General features: G+C 42.6%; 1 protein-coding gene across 9 annotated transcripts in view; it reads right to left on the minus strand.

Moving 5' to 3' along the window:
• Nucleotides 1-24,109, minus strand: part of PRKCQ (protein kinase C theta) — a 186,550-nt gene that overhangs the window by 118,453 nt on the left and 43,988 nt on the right. For 7 of the 9 annotated variants that reach the window (NM_001323267.2, NM_001323265.1, NM_001282645.1 and 4 more), the window contains exon 2: nt 2,469-2,595. In NM_001323267.2, the coding sequence (NP_001310196.1) occupies nt 2,469-2,480 (12 nt within the window). In that variant the 5' untranslated portion in view covers nt 2,481-2,595. Of the gene's footprint in view, nt 1-2,468; nt 2,596-2,771; nt 2,963-24,109 lie in introns of those variants that run through there. The other 2 variants (XM_005252497.5, XM_005252496.5) reach the window with 1 other exon arrangement.

Here is a 24,109-nt window from a genome sequence, read left to right on the forward strand (position 1 = left end):
AACCTGCATTTGAGTGTTTGTTTCTTGTGACATAAGCACATTAAGTGGCAGATTTAGCAATTCAGAGATGTCGATTAAGCAAAAGGGGAAAAATCTGCTTAAAGCCAGGAAATAAAGCCCTTCTAACTTTCGAGGGCCCCTTCTGTCCAACACACAAAGCTAAACAGAGCAGACATTTAGCATTTGTTAAATTAATATTTATTTCGGGGGTATACAAGGAGTTGAATAAGCTTGAAACTCAAATGTTAGATAAACTTGGCTAGGAAAGACATAAACCATGAGACTACTAAACGTGGAATAGAAAGGGGACATTTTTTGTGGGTTGGTAAAAAAAAAATTGGACTGGAGATTGGGCTTTTTAGAAACCAACGGCAATATTAATGATCACGGTAACATTTTACTTCCACAGACCTGAAGCTTCCCTTTCCGATACTTCCTTTTGATGGTAACCATTCTCTGTGCCTGGAGAAAAGGGCCAAAAATACCCTGAGAAGGGGCAAAAGTCCCCAAAGCAAGGCACTTTTTACATTTTCATTCGCCACGTTTGTAATCACCTAAACAGAGGGCCCTATCTATGTAGAGTGTTACCGTTTTAACGACTCACAACCCCGCAGCCCCGTAGCCTGTTTGTCCTTGTTCTGTTGGCTCATTGTGGAAAATGCAGCCTTACACCCCAAGAACTGAAATGTGTTTAAATCCTGTAGAAGTAAATATTGAATGATAATATTCAGAGTGATTTCTTTTCAGAACAAGCCCAAAATAAAATCAAAAGCAAAAATCTCTAAACTCCCTCCAACTCCACAGGCTAATATTTAGGAAAACCAGTTTCCTTCTTTTCTGACAAGGACTCTCGATCCACATGGCTCATTAGACCAAGTTCAAAGGCAAGGCCAAATGCAAAAAAAAAAAAAAAAAAAAGCCCTCAGGAAGCAAATGTCAGGGAGACCTGAGATGGTAAAGAGAACTGGATCCAGGAGACCCATTAAGTCAAAGGCGGCTTTGAAAAACTCAGACGTTTTACACTTCAAAGATGTCTGTGACATCTGAAAGGTTTTAGGTTGGGAGCAAGTGGCATTCACACTTTTAACTAAACAGGAGAGAACTCTGGGCAGAAAGGAAATCAAGATGATTCAGACAGTCTCTCTGGCTTTGATGTGTTCAGAGTGGCTGGAAGGACAAAGTCAGCTGTGAAGCAAAAAGGCTTTTGGTGGGGGATGCAAAATAGTAGGTTTGGGAACCCCAGAATCTGAACTCTGAGCATCTGGCAGGAGGTTCTCAAAGTCTGAGTCAGTTTCTTCTTGTATCTGCAAATGTCCCTCGCTCACAGGCCTTTGCAGGACAACCCTATATAAAATAACACACATCCCTGCCCCCAGTCCCTCTCTTCTTTACACTGCTTTTTGTTCCTTCATTACCTGCTGTTTGTATTTTTGTTTATTGCCACTTTCTTCTGCAAGAATAGATGCTCTAAAGGGAAGGCAGTCTTCCTGAGTTCCTTCAGCTTACTTGTTTGACTTTTTTTCCCTCTATGCTCTGGTCCCAGCACTCTTGCAGTGGTCTCTCCGTAAACACTTTTGTGTAAGTGAACTGTGATGGCTTCCATAGTTACTGCAAGCCTGCATCCATCATCATTATCATTCCCTACAAAGTGTCTGCTAAAATCAAAATGCACGTAGGGAAACAAGAAAAGGTGTGCAGTCAGGAGAGTTGTGGGATCTAAACTCCCTCCTACTTTTCCTTTGGAAATCCGTGGCAAACTTCCAATGCAGAGGTGAAGATCTTGGAGAGTGGAAGCCGGCCGACGTGACCACAGAGACATTCCCTACACATAAGACTGTTGGAATGGAACATTCTGAACCCACAAACAGGACGTTGGGTGGCTGTCCCACTTTCCCCCTCACCTTGAGCTGCCTGTATTTGAACTTGATGAAACATCACTATTCTTTCATTCAGCCAAGACCTTAGTGAGTGCAAAAGTACGTTTTCTGAAATTTGGATTCTAATGGCTAATTATAGATGCTTTGTAATATCCACTGAAGATTCGCCAAAGCAGCAGTAAGCAGTCTTTAGAGTTGGTTGGAAGATTATGCAGTCTTAATCTACCTAGACTTATTTAAAGTAACCAGGCTTAACCACATAGGGCTATGTTCTACTTCAGCTCATTAGAGTTCCTTCCCATTAACTCCTTATGTAATTTCCTCAACCCAGCTTTCTCTTTCCCTTTGTATATGTGGGAAAAATGATACAGTGCAATAGAGCACCGGTGGGCCATCGGGTCCTGGTTTAGAGTCCATCACGAAATGTGTGTCCATGAGGAAGTCCTTGGCTTTGCTGGGCATCAGCGTCCTAAATGGCAGGATTTGGTTCCACCAGATGATGTCAAATGTCCTGGAAGACCTTGCTTCATACACAGTTCATAGCAGGATTCTCCTCCTCCTCCCCCGCTTTGAAAATCCCCTCAAGCTTACCTGATTCGACATACTCTTTGACGAGCACAGCACAGTAAGGGTTAACAGCCTCGCCCTGACAAGACTGGCAGGACCCGCAGTCAAAGTTGGACAAGCCAATCCGAAGAAATGGCGACATGGTTGCGCCCTGGAAAAAGACAAAAGACAAACGCTGTTTGGGGGCTATAAAAGATATTATTTTTGGTGCCCCATGTCTACTTAACCAGTGCTTTATCATGGACAGCCAGAACCTCACATAGGTCCACTATCCATGTGAACAAATGTTTTCACTTCCCCTTCTGCAGAGGACACTGCTGGACTCACCCAAAACCACACACTGACTTGCTGAGGGGAGAGGCTTTCTGGAAGTCTGCACTCAACCTTGCTTTTGAGAAGTAACTCAAGAGTTAGTTCCATTCAACCTAATGGAGTTAGGCCCAATGGTTGGAGAGTGAGGCAAAAGTTTTCCAATATTTTATGTCTTCTGTTATTCAAGTAGGTGCCCAGGAAACAGCACACAGTAATCAGAAAATGAGTTTATATAGAGCGAGTCTATTTTAGTCACACTAGTTAAATATGACACCGCAAAATTCTTACATGGTCTATTTATGTGTGTAATGGGATTGGCCCAAGGCATTCGGCAGCTGATCCTTATTTACTCTGGACATTTTCAAAAAGGTCTGCTTTCTTCACAGTTACACACACACACACTCTAAGCCTTTGAACATCACAAACCACGTAGAAAACTCCAAACTAATTGACTACTATAAAATAGGGCTTTCTCATATAAGGATGAACAAAATACTTCATAAAAGCCCAAAAATCAGTAATTATGCTTTCCAAGAGGTTTAGATGATAGTTATCAAAGTGTTAGCTACAAATCCAGGAATCTAGTCTAATTCTTCATCTATTGTTCCATTATTGAGTGTTCTGGCCACTTATGTGAACTAGATACCTCTTCTTTTTTACCTACTTTTCCGAGGTCCCATTAATCTGAAACTATCATCTGATATTCAGCAAAAAAGTTACTTCCTTGCTCCGTCTCTCTTTTTGATGATTTATACTTATAATTTTTTCTAAGCTTTCATAAGTAAGCCAAAGATAAGAAACAAAGCATTGATTGTCTTTTCTGCCTTTGTATAAAGAAAGAAAACTATTTGAAATAATAAAGACCTGGAAGGAGAATCAGTAACATACCTGGAGATCTTGGGCCTGTAATACCTCATCTAGCTAAGACAAAAGGGATCTCCAGTATGCTAAATACCAGTGTTCTTTGACTCCACAAGAGAGACAAATTAGGAGCTTTTGACGGGCATTAATTTCACAGATATTAATGAAGTCCTAATTTCCTGCAGAGTTTGGAAGTTTTATCTAAAGGAGATGGTTGGGTAAACATCATGATTTGCTGGGTTCCGTATCTGTCACGTTGCTGAATTAGCAGGTAGATGACTTACAAATTTGTCTTTAGGAGGCGCCCTTTGCCCTGTGAGTTTAGAATTCCCAGGCAGGAGCGGGGCTAACAGCTGTGAGTTCTCTGGAGAGAGTTTCTTTGAGAATCCCTTCTTTCCTGGGCCAATTGGGTCTTTTAGACAAAACTTCATTTCTCCACAAATCAGGAAAAATCACTAAGAATCATCTTCAGTTACGGGAGTTTTTGCCCTGTTGGGACTTTCTGAAGATTTCCTTAATTCTGTTTGAGTCTAGAGGGATCACTAACTCACAAAGCCAGAGTTAAAGCACCCTGACCTTTTCTGGTGTCACCCTGCTATTCCCAGGGTGGGTTTCTAATCAGGCAACAGTAGCCCAGCAGGCGTCTGGGAAATGCTGCCCCAGGAAGAGAAGATGGAAACCTCCAGGGTGACCAGGGCTTCCATTACAGCAAGGAAGAGAGTTGGGGCAAAACCCTCTGTCCCCCTGAAGGTCTTCCTAGACAATGATTTCTTACTTAATAAGCAATGCAGATTAAACGGCCGTTTCACCAGATTCACTTGCACTATTCTGTAAAGGTCTGCTCACAGACCTTTAGAAATGTATGTCAGACATGACCTGACATACACCTGACATCTAGAAGACAGAATAGGTATTTGTGTGGTAATCTTCACACATCATTCAATAGAACCGCAAGCTCAGGTGTGAGTTTTTCAGGCAGATGGCAGCGTTTTACACCCGAACTACACAGAGTGCTTTTCTCTGTGTAGTTCAGAGCACTTTTTAGGTGATCATGATGAAAAATAAAGAAGACACACAAAGTTAGTAAAAAGTCTCTCCAGATTTCCACCAATAAAAGAAATCAGTTACTATTCTGATCTATTTTCCCTAGTCTTTTTAAATTAGCAAGTTTTGTGTTTTTTTTTTTCTTACATGCTATGATCATCCTGTGGGTATGGAATTATATTTGGCTTTTTAAGTTAACATTTTACTATAAAATTTTTTTCAAGTTTCTCTGACATTTTCTCAGGCTTCCTTGTCATTCTTGCATGACATCCTATTGACAGTAGCTCTACGATCTGCGTTACTAAAGTCTGTAGCTACATATTTAGTCTGTTTCCAACTTCTACATGCCAGAAAAAAATGCATCTTTAAGATAGCATCTTTTTTTTTTTTTTTTTTTTTTTTTTTTTTTTTTACAACCTTTCCCAGATTTAGGGATACTGCATCAGACTGGATCACCAGAGTATTACAATATTATTTATCAAGTGTTATTCCTATTGGTAAGGTCTTATACATTTAAAGAAAATAACCAAACTTAACAGTAAAGACCTACCCAGGGAAATAGCTATGGTTAGTGTAACAGAAGTAAGTAAACGCCATTCTTACATAATATGGGTATACAAATTTGTAAGAAAGGCACTGTTTATGACCCAAGAAAATAAATTGCAAAGGCACAAGCTATACAGGATACAAAAATCATAGTTCCAACTAATTGTGGAAAAATGTTTAGCCAGGTGAGCAATTTAAGACATGCAGAATAAGATACTATGTAATTGCATGTACCATTCCTGAAAAGACAAAACTATATGAAGAAAAACATCAGTGGTTGCCAGGAGTTGCAGCAGGGAGGAGCAGCATGAGCAAATTTTGGGGAAAGACAGAACTGTTCTCCGGCTTGATTGTTCTAGTGGTCACAGAAGTCTAGACTTAAATTCACAGAACTACACCAAGCCAAAAGTCAATTTTACTGTATGATAATTCAAAAACCAAAAGAAAAGAAATATATGCAATTGGTATTTTAAGGCATGTGTTATAAATACAGAGATTATAGAGGTAAAGTAAAAAGAATATATATGAAAAAGCTGCATATTAAATTAAAATCTTAAAGTAATCAAATTACTAAAGGGAAATGATCAGATCTTTTAAAAAATTAAAATAGCTTTGGTTCTGTGGTATTTAAGCTCTTTTGAACATTTGCAGTTAGGCAAACACAGCTGAGAATAAAATAACATTAGAAATTAATAATGCATTTTATTTGAGGAAAAATTAACATTTTAAGTCCTAATTTAAGCTGTAAAAAGAATTATAATATTTAAAATATATAATAAAATAGTCTGGGCATGGTGGCTCACGCCTGTAATCCCAGCACTTTGGGAAGCCAAGGCGAGGAGATCACTTGAGGTCAGGAGTTCCAGACCATCCTGGCCAACATGGTGAAACCCCCTCTCTACAAAAATACAGCAATTAGCCAGGCATGGTGGGGGGCACCTGTAATCCCAGCGACTCTGGAGGCTGAGGCAGGGGAATCGCTTTGCTCCCTGCAGAGGTTGCAGAGAGCCAAGATCATGTCATTGCACTCCAGCCTAGGCAACAGAGCAAGACTCTGTCTTAAAAAAAGAAAAGAAAAGAAAAGAAAAATATATAATAAAAACAATAATATGTTTTTGCCCATGCAATTATCAAATATTTTTGAAATGCTATTACTTAATGTTGGTAAGGACAAAATGAATCATACACTTTCATACAATGCTGCTGGGTATGTAAATTACCACATTTAACAGATATACACACCTGTGTATATGTAAGTATATATGTGTGTGTTTATGTATGTATATGTGTGGATGTAAAAATATGCGTATCTATCCATCTATATTAAGAGCCAAGAAGATGTGTAATGAATACACAAGAAAGAAATTAACATAAAAGATTTTCATGGGTTGCCTTTTGGTGTTCGGAGCAGATAGTAGGGGGAAGGGGATTTCCCTGGGTGTTTAACCAGAAATGAGAGTTTCTGTAGACAAAAATATGTGCTGGAATAGCCTGCCTCAGGACTAAGCTGTGTGATCTGTCCTCTGTGCACTCTAAATTTCAGTCGGTCTCATCTTCACTCTCCATTCACGTGTGATCTGAGAGACCAAGACAGTTGCCCCTTCATCAGCTAAGATGGATTCTAAGGTTAAAGAAACAAAAGTTACCCAGGGGTCGAGGATTCAGGGCTTGGCTGGCATCACAACCTCCTAAATTCCTACAGCTACAGGAAAAGCCACACCCTTGTTAGTCTCCCTAATAACAAGAATAATCAGGCGAAGTTTGAGACTCTTCCTAACTCTGATTTACAACCCAGACCCCTGCAACTCTGATTGGACAGGGAACCAGGCTTCCAGGCATTCTTTCCCGATAAGCAAATGCAGACCCCAAGCCAGTTTCAGCAGCTTACAGGTGCTGCACACTAAATGTCATTGTGTCCTATCATTTGCCTTTTGATGTAAAGAGCCAAATTTAGGATCTAATTTTAATGCTACAACTGTGCCCCAAAGTGAACATGGGATGTATGTTGGACATATGTTTACCCCTGGCACCTGCACTTAACTCCCCTCATAAATATGTATAGATTTTTCCCCAAAGCTTTCTGAATATATCTGACTCTATTGTGTAATATGGAACCTGGGAGGCATAAAACCAGCCTGCACTTTCCCTCTTTGAAGAGAGAGCACCTTCCATACACGCCAAAGACTGTCTCTTCCCGGTGTGCAAACTGATATTGCCAATAAAGTTCTTTTCTACTGTTCAGCCATCCTGGTGGTCTATTGTGTAACACATGGTAGTCTCATACTTTATGACAACAATCTATGCACAAGAAGACTGACTGGCCAGGCTGTTCCGAACAAGGCAGGGGCTAGGTCCCCCCATAGACCCCTTGTCTGAGCAATAAAGTCACGCATTCGACTCTCTCCTGGAAATCTCCAAGGGGACCCCAAACTCACCAGGTCCCATACAGAACTCCCTGCCTTCCCTTTCAAACTTGCCTTTTCCTTCATTTTGCCAGCTCGGTGCTGGGTGCCGCGACGCCCGGCCCTCACCCGCTGCTTCAACTTTACCCTTCCCCTTGTGCCTCACGACCCACTTGCTTCATCTCCTGCTCCACCGATTCTGCACCACCTCTCTTGTGACTCACAGCAGCTTCTTACCCTGCCTCCTCTGTCCAGCCTTGGTCACCTCTCAGTCTCCATCCAATCTCCATGCTCCAGCCTGAATGATCTTAGGATCTTGCAAAACTGCTGCTGTTTCTCCAATGTGCCATGTGTTTCACAGCTTCAGCCTTCTAGGAAAGCTGCAACCTCTCCCTGGAACGCCTCCCTGTTTCACTCCATCCTCCCTGCCCCCTTCCTCATCTTTCAAGTTCCTGTTCAGTCTCTAGCTCCTCTTGGAAGCCTTCCTTCCCCTCCTCTAGAGCCCTCCCATCAACACATCTCCATGGGAAGTTCTCAGCCCTGGCTCCTGCAGTTCTCTGAGTGCACTGCTAGACAGCACCTGTCATATTGATTTGCGTCACACCTGCCATTTCTACAGTCCGAGTGGGGTTGATCCTGTGGCTCCCAGCTCTCAGCCCTCTAATGTGGGGACTTATAGAGCCCCACCAGGATGTCGCCTACTTGATTCTTGAGATGCTACATACACTCAGAAGAGGGGTTTGACTCCAACTACACAATTCTCTCTGGTCTCATCTGCAATACATTCAGCAAAAACTCCTCAGAACGAGTGCATTTGGGTGCCTTACTTCCCTCATCCCCAGTGAAGATAAACAATTTCCCTTTGTGATCACATTCCTTTGGAGATGTGGTCAGCTTGTGGGATAGGGGAAGAGACAGAGTGCCAGCGCCCATGCTGCTGTATTTCCCTACAATGTGCAGTTGGATTTATGGGTTCACGTCTGTCTTCCTCAACAATTCCGAGAGAAGGGGCCATGACTTCATCATCTATGTGCCTCCAGAGCTGATCCCCCTGTCTGATATATGCTAGAGACTCTGCATTTTTGCTTAGGGAGTTCATTTTCAAAAGCAACATTTTACCAAATCTCTTCATCTCATGCATTTGTTTTACTTGCAAGAGAATACAATGGTCAAATTAAGTGACAGACAATTACAGAGGGAGTCAAGAGCAAAGGATTCAGCCCAGCACTTGTTGTAAACAAAAGATCGATGCCCTCATACACTGAACTGCTGGAGTTATTTAAACTCTCTAAGCCTGCTTTCTCATTTGGAAATCACTGATAATACTATTACTCATCCCAAAGAGCCATGAGGATTAAATGGGCAAATACACACAAGGTGCTTAGAATGGGGCTGGCTCAAAGTAAATGCTCAATAAATGTTAGTTATTATTATTACAACTCTGATATATTTTCTAATGGGCCTTCTCAACTTCATTGGTGTGTACCAAAAAGAGCAGGAGGAAAGTAGAAATAGTCTTTCAGGAGCATATCTGGGTTAAATTATGTGACCTTCCTCTGCACTCTGCTACGGAGCTCCCACAAAACCCTCCATCTATCTCTTGCAGAGCACTTACTACCCTCTGATGTCCTCATCTGGATGCAGTCATTATCATGATGGATATCAGGTATGTCCATCCAATCTTCCAAGCTTTTGCTACCCCAGCTGCAAAACACCATCATGATATGTACTATGTTATGTTATGTGATGTTATGTTATGTTATGTTATTTATTTATTTATTTATTTATTTATTTATTTTTTTGAGACGGAGTCTCGCCCTGTTGCCCAGGCTGGAGTGCAATGGCACGATCTTGGCTCACTGCAACCTTTGCCTCCTGGGTTCAAGCGATTCTTCTGCCTCAACCTCCCGAGTAGCGGGATTACAGGTGCGTGCCACCACGCCCGGCTAAGTTTTGTATTTTTAGTAGAGACTGGGTTTCACCATGCTGGCTAGGCTGGTCTTGAACTCCTGACCTCAGGTGATCCATCCGCCTTGGCCTCCCAAAGTGCCGGGATTACAAGAGTGAGCCATCGCGCCCGGCCCCTATGTACTTTAAAATTACAAAGGATCTTTACTCTTAGAGGCTCACTATTTTCAGCTTTAAGTGTGATCTCATTTGTCTTTTGTGTGTAGCTTCGATGCAGGTACATGATCAAGTATAATTGCTCAGTGCTTTAGGTCACACGCTATTATGTACTGAACTGAGAATTCTGGTCTTTTGATTCTCTGGACACTGACTCACCTATTTAGCTAGGCTGATTCACCCTCCACAATTCAAACTCCCAGAATGCGTTTATAGAGATGCTGAGGATGTCCACATAACTGAACCTGATGGGGACAAATTCCATATAAATAGAAAGCAATAGAAGTATAATATACTCTCATCAATTGAAAAAAATATCAAGCATTCTCTTCCTCAGTAGCAAATGAAATAAGAAATAGCAAACTTCTTCATTTAATAAAATGTTTGGACAGCATTTGTATTACTATAATTTAGTGGGAGATGGCTCAGTGTTGGGGGAGAGTCTCACAGAATTAAAATAACAATAGTCATCACTTGTATCAAAACCTCTCACATGTGGAAGAAAGAACACAGATTAATCAATAGTAAATCTGGGAATGAGAAACAAAGCATTCAATGGTTTCCAATTACATCTGCTCAGCCAAATTTGGTAAACATCAATTCAGAAAAATTTTGGCAAATTAAGCTACACCAATAGCTTTTGCATTTCTTTATGAGATAGAAAGATTTCTTAGGTAAAAGTGACTGCTGTTAAAAGAAACATAAAAAAAAACTTTTTCACAATGTGCACAGAAGAAAGATGATAACTAGTAAAAAAAAAATCACATAGTTGGGTAGCGTTTTGCTTTGTTGCTAAGACTTCTACTAAGTAGTATAATAAAGAGATTAAATATTAGCTTTCACCAACAAAAATGATCTCAAAAGTGAATTAAAATAGTAAGTATGGGCCAGGTGCAGTAGCTTATGCCTGTAATCCCAGCACTTTGGGAGGTTGAGGTGGGAGGATCACTTGAGCCTAGGAGTTTGAGACCAGCCTCAGGAACAATGCAAGACCCTGTCTCTATTTTTTCTTTTTTTAATTAGCTGGGCATGGTGGCACACACCTATAGTTCCGGCTACTCGGGAGGCCAAAGTGGAAGGATCACTTGAGCCCAGGATGTCGAGGCTGCAGTGAGCTGTGATTGCACCACTGTACTCCAGCCTGGGCGACAAAGCAAGACCCTTTTCAAAATAATGATAATAATAATAAAGTATAAATTGAAGATAATATTTTAAAATAACCCCTACAATACAGTGACAAAGGAAACCGAAGGCTAACAGTCAACCCTCAGTCAGAACTAGAGATGAAGGAGGCTTCGTGGACAGACCAAGTGTTGCCCTCCTGCCTGCCAACATTAACAACACTCTGCACTTTCCCCCAAAAAACCAACAATAGTGTTGAAGTTAAACCTTGAAATATAGAAAATAAAACACCTGGGATGACATTATTAATCTTCTGACACAAATTTTAATAGGTTACATGAATAGATAGTCCCACTAAGGCATAGCCCTGGTCAAGTTACACTGTTACTTAAGAAAGCTGTCCCAGTGTTTGTTGAGTTAAAGCCTAATTCTTAACCTGTTATTTAAAAGCCTCCGTGTATTGAGTTCAAGTTGCCCCCTTCACACAGCACGACTCTCAGTGGAGTCCCAGCTTCTTAACCTGTTATTAAAAAGCCTCCGTTTATTGGGTTCAAGTTGCCTCCTTCACACAGCACGACTCTCAGCGGAGTCCCAGCCTGCCTGGACTTCTCTCGATTTGCTGAAGGTTCCCTGAATATCTGTCTCTATGGCTCTGTTCACGCCATTCCTTCTGTTTCTGAGCTCTGCCATCTCCACCCAAGCACAATTACCATCTTTCAAAATCTTTCTCATGCTTCATGAGGTCCTTAAAAAATCCTATGAGAAAGAGTGGGTGTTACTAGTTACTCACCTAATAATATTAAAAATAGTCATCACATTAATTATTGTAATGAACTCTCATAGACACTTTGACTTATGTTATCTCCATAAACCCTTCCAGTAGCTGTCAGGTGGACAGGACAACTATGGTAGTTATCTCCATCTTATTAATTTATAGATTTTATGGCTGGGGCTCAGCAAGTTTAGGTGACTTGCCTATGGTTACAAAGTGCTTGGAGGGCCTGAATTCAAACTCAGGCCTCAGATTTCAGTCCCTTTCCACAGCATCCTACCACCTGCCACATCTACCGTCTTCAGCCGTATTCCAAGCGCATGTCTGCCATGCTTTCTTCTTACCTACTTTTCACTTTCATTTTTCTCCTTCCAGAATCTATAGAATTAATAGCTCAGATGGGGACAGGTACGGGTAGACTTTCTCCTAGATGAGAAAGGTCCCCTCTTACAGGACAGAGCTCTCACCAAAGCGACATACAAATAAAATAACTTCTGATGTTGAATATGAACTTTTCTCCTTCAGCTCAGGGTGCTGCCACCAGTACTGATGTGAAGAAGGGAGAAAAGTGGGTGAGGAGGGAGGAGGGAGGAGGGTAGTGGGCCAAGGTCTGTGAGTCTCACCAAGTCTGGATCCTCGGGCCCCAGCTGGCCCACCTCCCTCTGTGCTTCCAGTCTCTGTGAGGTGCCTCCTGGCTGCAGCGGGCAGGCTCTCACTGATGTAGGACACAGCCTTGCCATCCACCACGGAGTTCAGCCAGTCATAGAAATACTGTTTAAAAAGGGGTTAGGCTTTCCATCAGCTTTTAGCCCACATTACAGCTGAACTACCAGGCATGTGCTAGGTGACTGTTGCCCACCGTGGAAATCTGTCATGCATAACAGGATTCCTACATTTTCAGAGTCCCAACAACTAATGACTTTAAAATTATTGAAGTCACTTTTGAAATGACTATGGATTTATTTTAAGTTCTTTTTTTTTTTTTTTGAGGGTAAGAGTAGGGGAAGGTCAATTGTGGTAAAAACGATAATTATATTAAAACTCATCAAATATCCTATTAATTTGGTGTGAAAGTAATTTGCAGTTTTTGCCATTAAAAGTAATGGAAATTTAAAAAAAGGCTGGGCATGGTGGCTCATGCCTGTAATCCCAGAATTTTGGGAGGCCAAGACAGGCGGATCACCTGAGGTCAGGAGTTCAAGACCAGCCTGATCAACATGGCTAAACCCTGCCTCTACTAAAAATACTTTTTAAAAAAACTTTGCCATTAAAAGTATTGGCAAAAACCACAATTACTTTTGCACCAACCTAATAATCCCACCTCGCCGTACTTTCTGTTGCCTTAGTGCTCTCTGTGGGGTCATTACGCTTTCAGTTGTTCAGGCAACTGCCTTACAACTAATTCTGATTTCTGAACAAATCCTTAGCAGGTATCTTGATCATCGAAGATGTCAAAAGGAAAAATGGAAATAGTATATACCTGGATGTCCCAGACACTCTTACTCTAAGTCCACGAGCAGGAGAAAAGAAAGGCTCACTTGCCTCTTTCCTCCTTGATCTCCACACAGAGGGTCATTCCCAGGTTGGTTTCTTTGAGGGGGATCTGCTGGAGGCCATGAAGTATCATTTTGGAGAAACTCTTCTCCCAGGGTTCCATAAATCAAAATGCTGGCATGGGGGTGGGGTCAGGCTTGGTTCCTTTCCTGCTCTCAACTCCTCCTTTCTAGACCTCAGCTCTCCCACAAGCAGCTGCCCTGGGGAAGAATCCTTGAAAATGTTGTAATCACCCACAATCTGCTGGTATTATTTTGGGAACTGAATGAGATAAGGTATGAGGAAACTCCATAAACTCCTACGTGCATTGCACAGATTAAACGAGTTAATATGTATAAAACAGAACAATGCCCAGCACATAGTAAGCCTTCTATATGTGTTTATTTTCATTATTTGAAATGCTAAACAATGTTCCACAATTGGAAAAATGGCTGTCCAAATCATAGATATTCTTTCTTCTTCTTCCTCAGGATCCTTGGTATTTATGACCTAATGTTCTATGATTACAGTATCCACGATTTCTGATTTAGTGACTATGCATCCATTCACTCATTCATTCATTCAACAAACAGTTACTAGAGCTACTAGGCACTAAGTGTCTTAGGACACTGCAGTCAGCCAAAGAGACAAAACCCATCCTTTGTGCAGAGGTCCAGATGCACGAGACAGACAAGAAAGCAGAAGAATATAATATGAAATACACCAGGTGACTCCCATGAAACAAACTAAGCAGAGGAGGGAGGTGGGGAGTGCTGGGTGGGGCGGCAGGGAGGGCTTTGCTGGTCCTGAAGGGTCTCTGTGAAATGACGTTGAGTAAAGACCTGCACGAGGAGAGGACTGAGTCACACAGACAATGGCAGGTGAACGTTCCCGGCCGAAACATGGGTGTGAGGTCGGAGCTGCCAAGCACGTTCTGGGAAGGCGGATGGGCTGCGTGGAGTTGAGCAAGGGGTAGAGAAGACAGACGAGGTGGGTGTGCCCATGGGGCTGTCCACAGGCCATGGTGAGAACTTGGAGTTCAGGTAGGACACCGCCCGAGGGGTCTACGTGCTGTCTTCAGCTTTGAGTGCAGAGCAGACTTATTTACACCTAGAAAGGGGGTACCCTGGTCCCTGTGTTGAGAGGACTGTAAGGAGCAAGTGCAGAAGAAGAGAGACTACTGGGGGCGACTTCACTCTTCCAGTTGATGGTCGGAGGGCACCAGCAGAAGGACCCTGGCAGCGTGCAGGGATTCCGATATCTCTTGATGGGATGTACCAAGCCACTGAAGATGAGGGGAGGGAAAAGGAGGAGCAGGGCGGCCTCAAGGTTTGGGGCCCCAACCCATGGTAGGAGGCCATCCCCATTCACAAGATGGGAGCACTGCGGGAAGAACTAGATGGCATGAGAAGATGAGACATTTTATTTTGGACACGTTAACTTTGAGATATGGAGAATACAGTTGATAGCTTTTCTGAATCAAGAATTAAGACACATGAACTAAGGATGTAAAAGTTGTATTTTCAGCAGCCAGGTACTGAAACTTCTTGGGCAAGTGGGTACTTATTGGGAATCATGGGACTAGATATTTGAGGTCTATGTCATATAATTTCCATATCTAGAAAACAGCAGTCAGTAAAAGATATAAAAACTGTAATGATGATGATGTTGGTTATGAGGACAACAGCACCCATCACTTACCGAGCAGTTGCTAATCATGGTCATTATGAGAAGGCTCATATTTTCCCTCCCTGTGTTTTCAAACAGAGAGGCTTGCATCCCTCTAACCTATCCTCACTCCTCATCCCTGTACCCCAGGAAGAAGAGTGATTGATCTGATGGATACGTTTGTAAAAGAAAATAAAATCTCAGGCCCCCCAAACCAGTTATGCCAAGGGGAGAGGTAAGCCTGGAAGCCAAGTCCTGCCACCGTGCCATTCTTTTTCCCCAGGAGACAGCGGTCACTTCACAACCCTGTGTCACAGCATTCTACGTAAGCCAGGCTCCCACAATGACAAAAGGCCCCGAGCTTCTCCCAGATGGCCACCGTCACACACTGCTTACGAGGAAATTCCTTTCTGGCCCCTAAATCCTTCAGGATCCACATTCCCCTACAAAACAAGCCTATGCCGATTGCAACCCTAGGACTGCAACCTAAGCTTAACTTCTAAAACTGAGTTCTGTTTTAGGAACTCAACTGACAATGTTGATTTCAAGCTCATCTTCCCAGGTACAGAAGAAGGGCCAGCTGAGATCAGTCACTCTTCTCCTGACTCTGAGGCAGGTGCATAATGGATTTGTTCCTCTGCTCCCTGTTCTCACACATTTACCTTATCTTATGTAAGACATGGATTTGGTAAGCGCTAATTAGAGCCTCACTGCCTCCCTCCTCCCTCTTCCCTCCTGCTTGCCCCCTCTCCTTAAGCACTGAGTTCCTAAAACCCTCTTTGGAAAGCACAGGTCACAGGTGCTTCTGGGGCTGGTGTTTTTCCCGGGTGTGTCCTCAAACTTTAGCTCAATAAACCTCAACTGATAGAGAAACTTGCCTCAGTCACTCATTTTTTGGTTAACATGTTCTACATGAATAAACCGTTCCCACCCATCTCCACCCTCCTCTTCTCATGTTGCAGGATCTGCTGATCTGCAGAACCATTTCTGCACTATCCTTGGCCATGTCATAGGCTGGGGTGGGGTGGGGGCGCATCCTCCTCGGTTGGCAGGGGTGAGAGGGTCCCTGACACAGTCCAGCATCGCCTGGGACGCTGTGAACAGACGACCAACTTATTTGCCTGAACGTTTTAGCCATCTCCATCGATCTGGCCTTTGTTATAACTGGTGGACATGCTTCTCCATCTCCCTGTCTCCTGATCTGCCTCTCCGTTTGTTCTAAGCACAAGCATAGCCAAGAGGGCTTATGTGTTGGATCTCCCACAACCCACAAAACTGTGCAAAGGACTCACAGTGAGTAAGCAACAGCACCTGAACCCAGCTTTGGTGGCTAAGTGTCTCCACCCAAACTAATACGTTATTTCTTGTTAGCAAATGTCTTTGAAGGTTAGGTCAGGGAGGACATGAATGCATAGAGTTTTCGCTGTAGACTGTTTCTGTCTGCTCCCACCTGTCCCTACTTGCAAAGGACATGTTATGACTGTAGGGACAGGCTTTCCTGGCAACTTGCTTAATTATCTTAAGCACTATTAGGATGTTTCTCCTTGTACCTGGGGCTTAATGATCTTTCTTTCTACTCCATGGCTGTGGTTTGAAGAATGAAGAATTGGGTGATATAAACAGAGATGGAGTTTCTCGGAATACCCTAAGTTCTCTTCTGGATGTCAGGGCGCCTGTGCCTATCTGGGTAATTTTCTCAGCATGTCATAAGCCTGTGCAATTCCCTCCAAGCTTCTGCCATTCATGCCTTTAGAAGTGGCTGATTGGGATCAATGAGGATTTCTATGGACAAAGTCTAGAAAGAAGCTAACTTCATCAGATAAAGTTGGGAGGAACTCAGCCTCCCTGGCATCATTTTCTAACCATGGTTAGGATAATCACTTACTAGACACAAAGATGCTGCCTTCTGTAGGAGTAAATGGAAATGTAGGACTCTGCTTCTTGTGTCAAAATTTACTCTGAAAAGACAACCTTCTCTCTGACTCTACCATCTTGTGACCCAGCAGCTCTAACTGAGATGCTGGATCCCTTGCAGTCCTCCTGACATTTCTTCCTGTCATGTAGGTGCTCAGTGAGGAAGAGCACACCACCCAAAACAGGGGCGTCAAGTTGGGGCCAGGGACTCAGGTGCTCTGGTCAAAGGGTACCTAGACTGAGAAGGGGATCTGAAGCCCCTGGGCATGAGGCTTTGCCATTCTCGAACCTTTGCATGGCCGAGTTCAAAAAGGCACAGAGACCCAGGAAGGAGTTAACATGTGAAGGAGCTTGCAGTTTGTAAATGTTGGTGTCATGGAGTATAGGCCAGCTCTATCAGTTTCCAAGCTGTACAGTCTTGGACAAGTGACTTAATCTTTCTGTGACTACATTATCATATCTGCAAAACAAGGTATATAATGGACCCACTTCATCAGGGTCTATGAAGGATTGGGTCTATGTCTGTGTTGTGATGATTTAATGAATTAATCCATGGAAAATGCGTATGACAGTGTTTGGTGGAAAAGATGGCTACGATGATCACACCACACTTTTCTAAAACATCCTTAGAAATTCTCCCTCATGAAAATACCATAGGAACTTGTTTCATGGGTCATCAGACATGGCCCAGAACACCTCTGAACCACTTGCCAAGGGGATGAAGTGACACACACATTTGTTTTTTGCTGTTAGTCACGAAGCATTTGGAATATCTGCCTACTATATTGCAAAGCACTGCACTGGATATGCATATGGGACAGGGTCATGTTCTCAACACATCATGGGGTAGGTATGGGGCAAACCTCTCCTTCCTAGGGCGCGGTCAGAGAAGGAGCCTTCGAGAGCCTGGGCTCCACTTTCTTAACCTTTGATCCCATGAATAGAGACATGGCTGGTTCCCATGAACTTGGCGTCAGAGTCAGAGCAAGAAATGGCAAAGTGAGCTGTCGCCCTTGGGTACACCAGTAGCAAAAACACTCCTGTCCTCCTATGCTGCTGTGACACCACACCCCACTTCCTCCCGCGGGCGTGTGACACTTTTCAAAGAAAATACAGTATTTGGTAGTATCAATACAGCAAGCGGAAGCAGCAGTGCTCAGTCCGCAGTGAGCTAACAGTTTTATAGAGAATACTCTACGGAAGCCCGCATGTGCCGGCTCTGCCCGGCAACGGGGGACTGGGCTATCACAGTCACAGGGGGGGTTGTTGCAAATAGAGGGACAGGGTGGACTAGGGAAGGGCACCGGGGGAAGAGAAAGAAAGTGCAGAAAGAAAGAGCTGGGTCTATCTGGGCAGATGCATGCGTTTAGGGCAATGTGAATTGCTCACATCCAGTTGCAGTCAGAAACGTCGCCAGCTTACAAATGCAAGTGTCGTAAAAACTTGGCTGCAGTTGTTTGGGGTTTAGAATCCACAGAAACTCTAAAATTAGGTAATACTTAGGTTCCTAGGCCAGCCCCTTCACTGACCGTTCATCTGCTAATTCAGAAAGGAGCCAAAAGGAATATATGAAACTGACCACCCATTGGCATTGTTCTAGCTTACGGGACTCTCTATTTTTCCTCCTCACTGTGACGTTTCAGAGTTACTGTAGGCTGAGTATCCACTGGAGGCCTAATTTCTGAATTCAGAAAACTATTAAGTTGTTTTATGATGTGAGAAAAGGACATCTGTACTCTCACCTGTCAGCAGGGTGGAGCCCACATGTTCTCAGAGATGGTCCTGGAGAAACAGCAACATCAGCATCCCTGAGACCTCTTTAAAAATGCAAATCCTGCAGCCCCACCCAGAGCTGCTGGGTGAGAAGCTCTGGGGTGAGGATGGAGCTTTAGCAAGGCCGCCAGGGAACGGATGCATATTGAAGTTCGCAAAGCTGCCCTGGAGTCAGCTCCACCAGGCCAGGCCAGCAGCTTTCTCGTTTCTATTTGCTCAGAATCCAGCACAGTGCCTGGTGGTTCTAAATCAGTGGTTCTCAGAGGGTGATGTTGCTCCTCTGAGCAACATTTGGCAATGTCTGGAGACAGATATTTTTGGTTGTCACAAATGGCGGGAGGGTGTGCTTCTGGTATCTAGTAGGGTGAGGTCAGAGATACAGCTCAACAACCTACGATGACAGGCTAGTCCCCCAAGCACCCCCCCAAAACCAATAGTGCGGAGGCTGAGAAACCCTGTTCTAAATAAATGGCAATGCCGAGAATATCTCCCCAACCCATTCCTCACCACTTCTCATCACTTCCTCATGTTCAGTGAATTCTGGCCCCACCCAGAGAATGGAAGAAGGTAGATTGAGGGACTCTGTCTCTCTCTCTTTCCCATATTCCCTTCTCATTTAGGGACCACACGTGGCACAGGAATTGACCATGTAAGATGTTCATAATAAGCATCTTTGGAATAAGTAAATGGATGAATCCATTATAATAAGACAGGAAATAAATCAGTTAGTGGATCTGTTTTTTGTTTTTTTGTTTTTTTCATTTTGAAAGCTGAAAGTGCCCTTATTGATCTCGTGGTCTGCCCTCTCATGTAACAGAAGAGAGAACTGAGGCTCAGAAAATTAAGGTGAGTGATCAAAGCTATCTACCTAATTAGCAGCAGGAAGGGATTAGGAGCCAGTTCTCCCAGCGCCTCCCTCGGTCCTCTTTTGGCCGGGCCAGTGTTTGACTCTTCCAGGCATCACTCAGTGAGGATCTGATTTGAATAGGTGATTGGATTTGCTCATGCACAGAGTATTAATATTACATATGCCGAAGGATTGTTTAATCGGCCAGATGTCGGACCCTATCAGACTTAATGCTTGTGACTTGTACTGATTTCTGAGCAGTGTAGCAGCATCCAGTGCAGTAGCTGGCATTCAATCAGCCAGTGGCCGGGTGAAATGCTCATTCTTCATACTTTAAAAGGGGCTTTTCTATATTCATCATATGCATATAATATGAAGAGATTAAAAGCTTAGCTTCTTTAAGAAAAACATGGTTTAAAAACAGTACTTGGTTATGGGATACATAGTTGGCAAATGTCAAGCTTCTACTTTACTTGGTGAATTTGTCCTGAGCCATTCAGATTATTTTGTGACAAGAGACATTGCTTGAAATGTGCTTCGGTCTACAGTCATCCCACCCCGACTGCACCCAATCTTGACATGTGCTTCAGTCTACAGTCATCCCACCCCGAATGCACCCAATCTTGACATGTGCTTCAGTCTACAGTCATCCCACCCCGACTGCACCCAATCTTGTCTGAAACGTACTTCAGCCTGTTCTTACAAGACACCAATCTCTCAAGAGAACATGACAGCATTTTTTAACTGCAATTTCATTATTCTCCAGAGCAGAAGGTAGATGGAGTGAATACCTTCATTTTTAAAAGGAGTCCATTATAGATTAGTGGCAAATAACTAATAGGCAAGAGCACTTTACAGTTTACAAATAGCTTTTCAAAGATGAGAATAACTAAGAGGCTGCTAAATCTAAGAGATATTGGTAATTTATTTCTTCACTGGCCCTTTACCACAGAGTTAAAGAAGCACTATTCTGTGGATCCTGTTTTACTGCAATACTTGCTAAATTGCAATCTATTCTAATTTTCTATTTTTTTCATATTCCCCCCTGAATCTAAGCTCTATGACTTCAAAAGTAATGTTTAGATTTTGTTTTTTTAAAAAATAGGTTTTATTTTTTAGAGCAGTTTTAGGTTCACAGTAAAATAAGAAGGTACAGAGAATTCCCACTTAACCCCTGTGCCTACAGATGCAGAGCTCCTCCCATTATCAACATCCCCCACCAGAGCTGGGGATGAGTCTACATTTGCATGTTATTATCACCCAAAGTCCATAAGTGAACCTCAGGTTCACTCTTCTATTTTTTTGAGATGGAGTCTTGCTCAGCTGCCCAGGCTGGAGTGCAGTGGCATGATCTCGGCTCACTGCAACCACCATCTCCCGAGTTCAAGCGATTCTCCTGTCTCAGCCTCCCGAGTAGCTGGGATTACAGGCACCCACCATCATGCCTGGCTAATTTTTGTATTTTAGTGGAGACGGGGTTTCACCACGTTGGCCAGGCTAGTCTTGAACTCCTGACCTCAGGTGATCCACCCGCCTCAGCCTCCCAAAGTGCTAGGATTACAGGCACGAGCCACTGTGCCTGGCCTGGGTTCACTCCTGACGCTGTACATTCTATGGATAATGAGATGGATCCACCATTACAGTGGATCACACAGAAGTTTCACTGCCCTAAAAATGCCCTCTGTCTCTTCATCCTTCCTTCTCCCAGCCCTAATAGGTATTAAAATAAAGATATTATAATGGGAATAATGTGGTTCTGGCAGCAAAAGAGATGGACAGGTTACCGGAACAAAACAGAATGTCCAGAAACAGATCCAATTACATATAAAAGTTTTGTGTTTAAAGAAGATGGTATTTAAACTCAACGGGAAAGGGAAAGATTGCTTAATGAATGAGACTGTGTCTACCAGCTAAAACCTACATTAAAGCTAATATAATACTAAATTCAGACAGATTGAAGATATTCATCCAGAAATAAAACTGCTAAACCACTAAAAGTACTAGGTAACATAGATCAATAATTATGCCCTCTTGGAATTAGGAATGACTTCTTAGATATGATCCCACAGACAAGCCCCAAAAAGGTAAACATTTCCAAACTATTTTACATAAAACTTGTGTGTTATTAATACACGTAAAGCTGGGAGACATAATTGCAAAATATGTGGCAAAATATTTAATTATTTAATATCATTAAAAAGGGCAAATCCCCTAATGAAAAAATGGGCAAAGGCTAACAACAGGCAATTTACAAAAGTAAAGTTATCAAGGGCCAATAAAACAAGTTCCATTTTACTAGAAATAAAAGATAGGTAAATCATCCAGGTCTTTAATCCCTTCTCTGTGATTCCAAATGCCAAAAAGCTCTAAAAATAGAAAATAATTATTCTGTGATATAAACTAATTTTGTAGCAAAATCCAAAGTCTGACATGAAGCTCTTTACAGTCTATTTATTCTACTGAACATGACTCTTAATATCCTTCCCCAGTACATAGCTTTTTGGGAAAATTTTGTAATATACAGCATGTAACTTTATTACCTTTATAAAATATGAATTATGAAGCAGATCTCGCCATAGCAATTTGGATAAGAGACCTCTACAAGCTTTATAGAAGGAAATGTGTATTAAATGACTTTAAAGTGATAAGGAAAGTGTAAGAAAATATACTTACAAGACTGTTCATTGCAGCACAGTTTAATAATAATAAAACTAGAAACAGCCTGAAGATTCAAAAATAAGATATTGTTTAAATATATAATGGCATGTAACTATAATGGAATATTTTATAACCAGTGGCTTATTACTTATTGAAACAAAGATATTTACAGAATATACTTAAAAGTTAAATAGAAACATATATCTATATATATATATATATAGATATATATATATATATATAAACTCATTACAAAGATAAAAATCTGTCAGTGGGAAAAAATTTGGAGTAAAATGCTATCTTTCAGTATACTGGATATTAGTTGATTTTAACTAGTTCTTTTTGGAATGTGCAATTCAAATTTTAAAAAATAATTCTGTGTAACAAAAAGGGAAAATGTTTTTCATATATTTATTCGGTTTGAAGTCCTAACAATTTTGTGAAGTAGGATGAATTGTTCCCATTATAAAGAAGGGAAAAATGGATGTGTACAGAAATTAACACTTTCTCCAAGGCTGCCGAGCTTGTAAGTAACCTGGCTCACTTCTGCTGACTCTGACACTAGTTTCTTTCCACTACAAGACCTCTCTGTTCACCTGGTCCCAGGTATCACCTGGCACCATTCGGATGCCCAGTTTTGATAACATTTGGTAATTTAACAAGTCTCTCTTTCACCTAATACCAACTTATCAGGAGTTCCATATGTGGAAAGTATTGTGGGTATCTAAGCCATAGTTCCTGTTTCCAAGAATCCTCCAATCCTCATAATGGGAGATTCCCAATTTAAGAAACAGCAAAAATTTATAACTTTACTAATAAGTTATTTGTTTAGGTGAGGGAATATACATTTTTTCCATAGAAATGTTACCCATGATGTTAAATCCACATATGTATTAATACATTTTTTTTTCAGTACCAAATGGTGCTATGAAAATGTGAAAGTTACCAGTATCAAAATGGAGTCACTTATGTCAAACCCCAAGTAAAAAGACCTGGGAGGTTACGAAGGAAGTAGGCAAGGAATTCCCCAAAACCAAAGTATTCCAGACAAGCTGCCGGCCTGACACGCCTGTCTCCAGCCATGCGCCAAGGCCACCTCCTGCACTGAGCGCTGTTTCAAAACAGCCCGTGTCCACCTCCCCTCTTGGTCTTTTGAAGTCTCCCCTCGCCGCGCCTCTTTAGACGCACCTGAGATCCATCAAAGCGGACAGATCCCGATTACAGTCCCCTGCTCTTCCCAAATAAGCTCTATGCTTTGGAAAGTCAGTCTGTCTGTCACTCATTTTAAGCTGACGAAACCAACTGCTGTGGATTTGCCATCGATCTATGAGGAAATGCCCCCAGCCTCCCACATGGAGTTCTAGGAGCACCACCCTAGGGCAGCCATGGCAGTGGATCACAAGCCCTCTTCCTTCCTACTGAGCAGTGGAGTCAGGCCCTACCCCTGGTTCTAGGTCACCCTTGGGGACAGTAGGAAGTAAGGGGGACCCTGGGGAAGCAGATGTGCGTGGGGAGGTTTGTGTGTGTCCGTGGAATGAGGAGGATGAGGAGAATGGAATGTGTGAAACATGATCACCTGTGAGGGCATTTGAAGGTCCGGGCAGCCCATGGCTCTAATCCCCCACCTGCACTGAGCCTGGGTGGTCCCAGACACAGATTCCTTCAATGTCCCTTTGCTGAGGGGTATAACCCCCAGGGTGGGCCCAGCCACTTGCCACTGGCTGGAACATGGATGTGATGGTGTCAAATCACCTTGGCAGTGACCTTGGCGATGACCTTGGCTATGCCCTTGACTGCCTGAGCCCGGGCTCTGACATGGGAGGGATGTCCACTGTCTTCTTTCAGTCACTGTTACTTGGGAGCCCTATGACAGCAGCAGACTTGTAGACTAATGAATAGCACACCTCATAAGACTTTAGTAAGAAGCAGACAAGGCTATAACTGAAAACATGTTCTGGAAGATAAAAAATTATTCTAATAGTAAAATACGATTTTATTATTATGCTCTAAAAATCTCTTCTTCTTCCGCTCCCCTTCTCCTCTTCCTCCAGCCAGTTCTCCCTGTTCTTCTCCCAGGCAAAAATAGGAT

This window comes from Homo sapiens, chromosome 10 (genome assembly GCF_000001405.40).
Source record: "Homo sapiens chromosome 10, GRCh38.p14 Primary Assembly".
Lineage (NCBI taxonomy): Eukaryota > Metazoa > Chordata > Mammalia > Primates > Hominidae > Homo > Homo sapiens.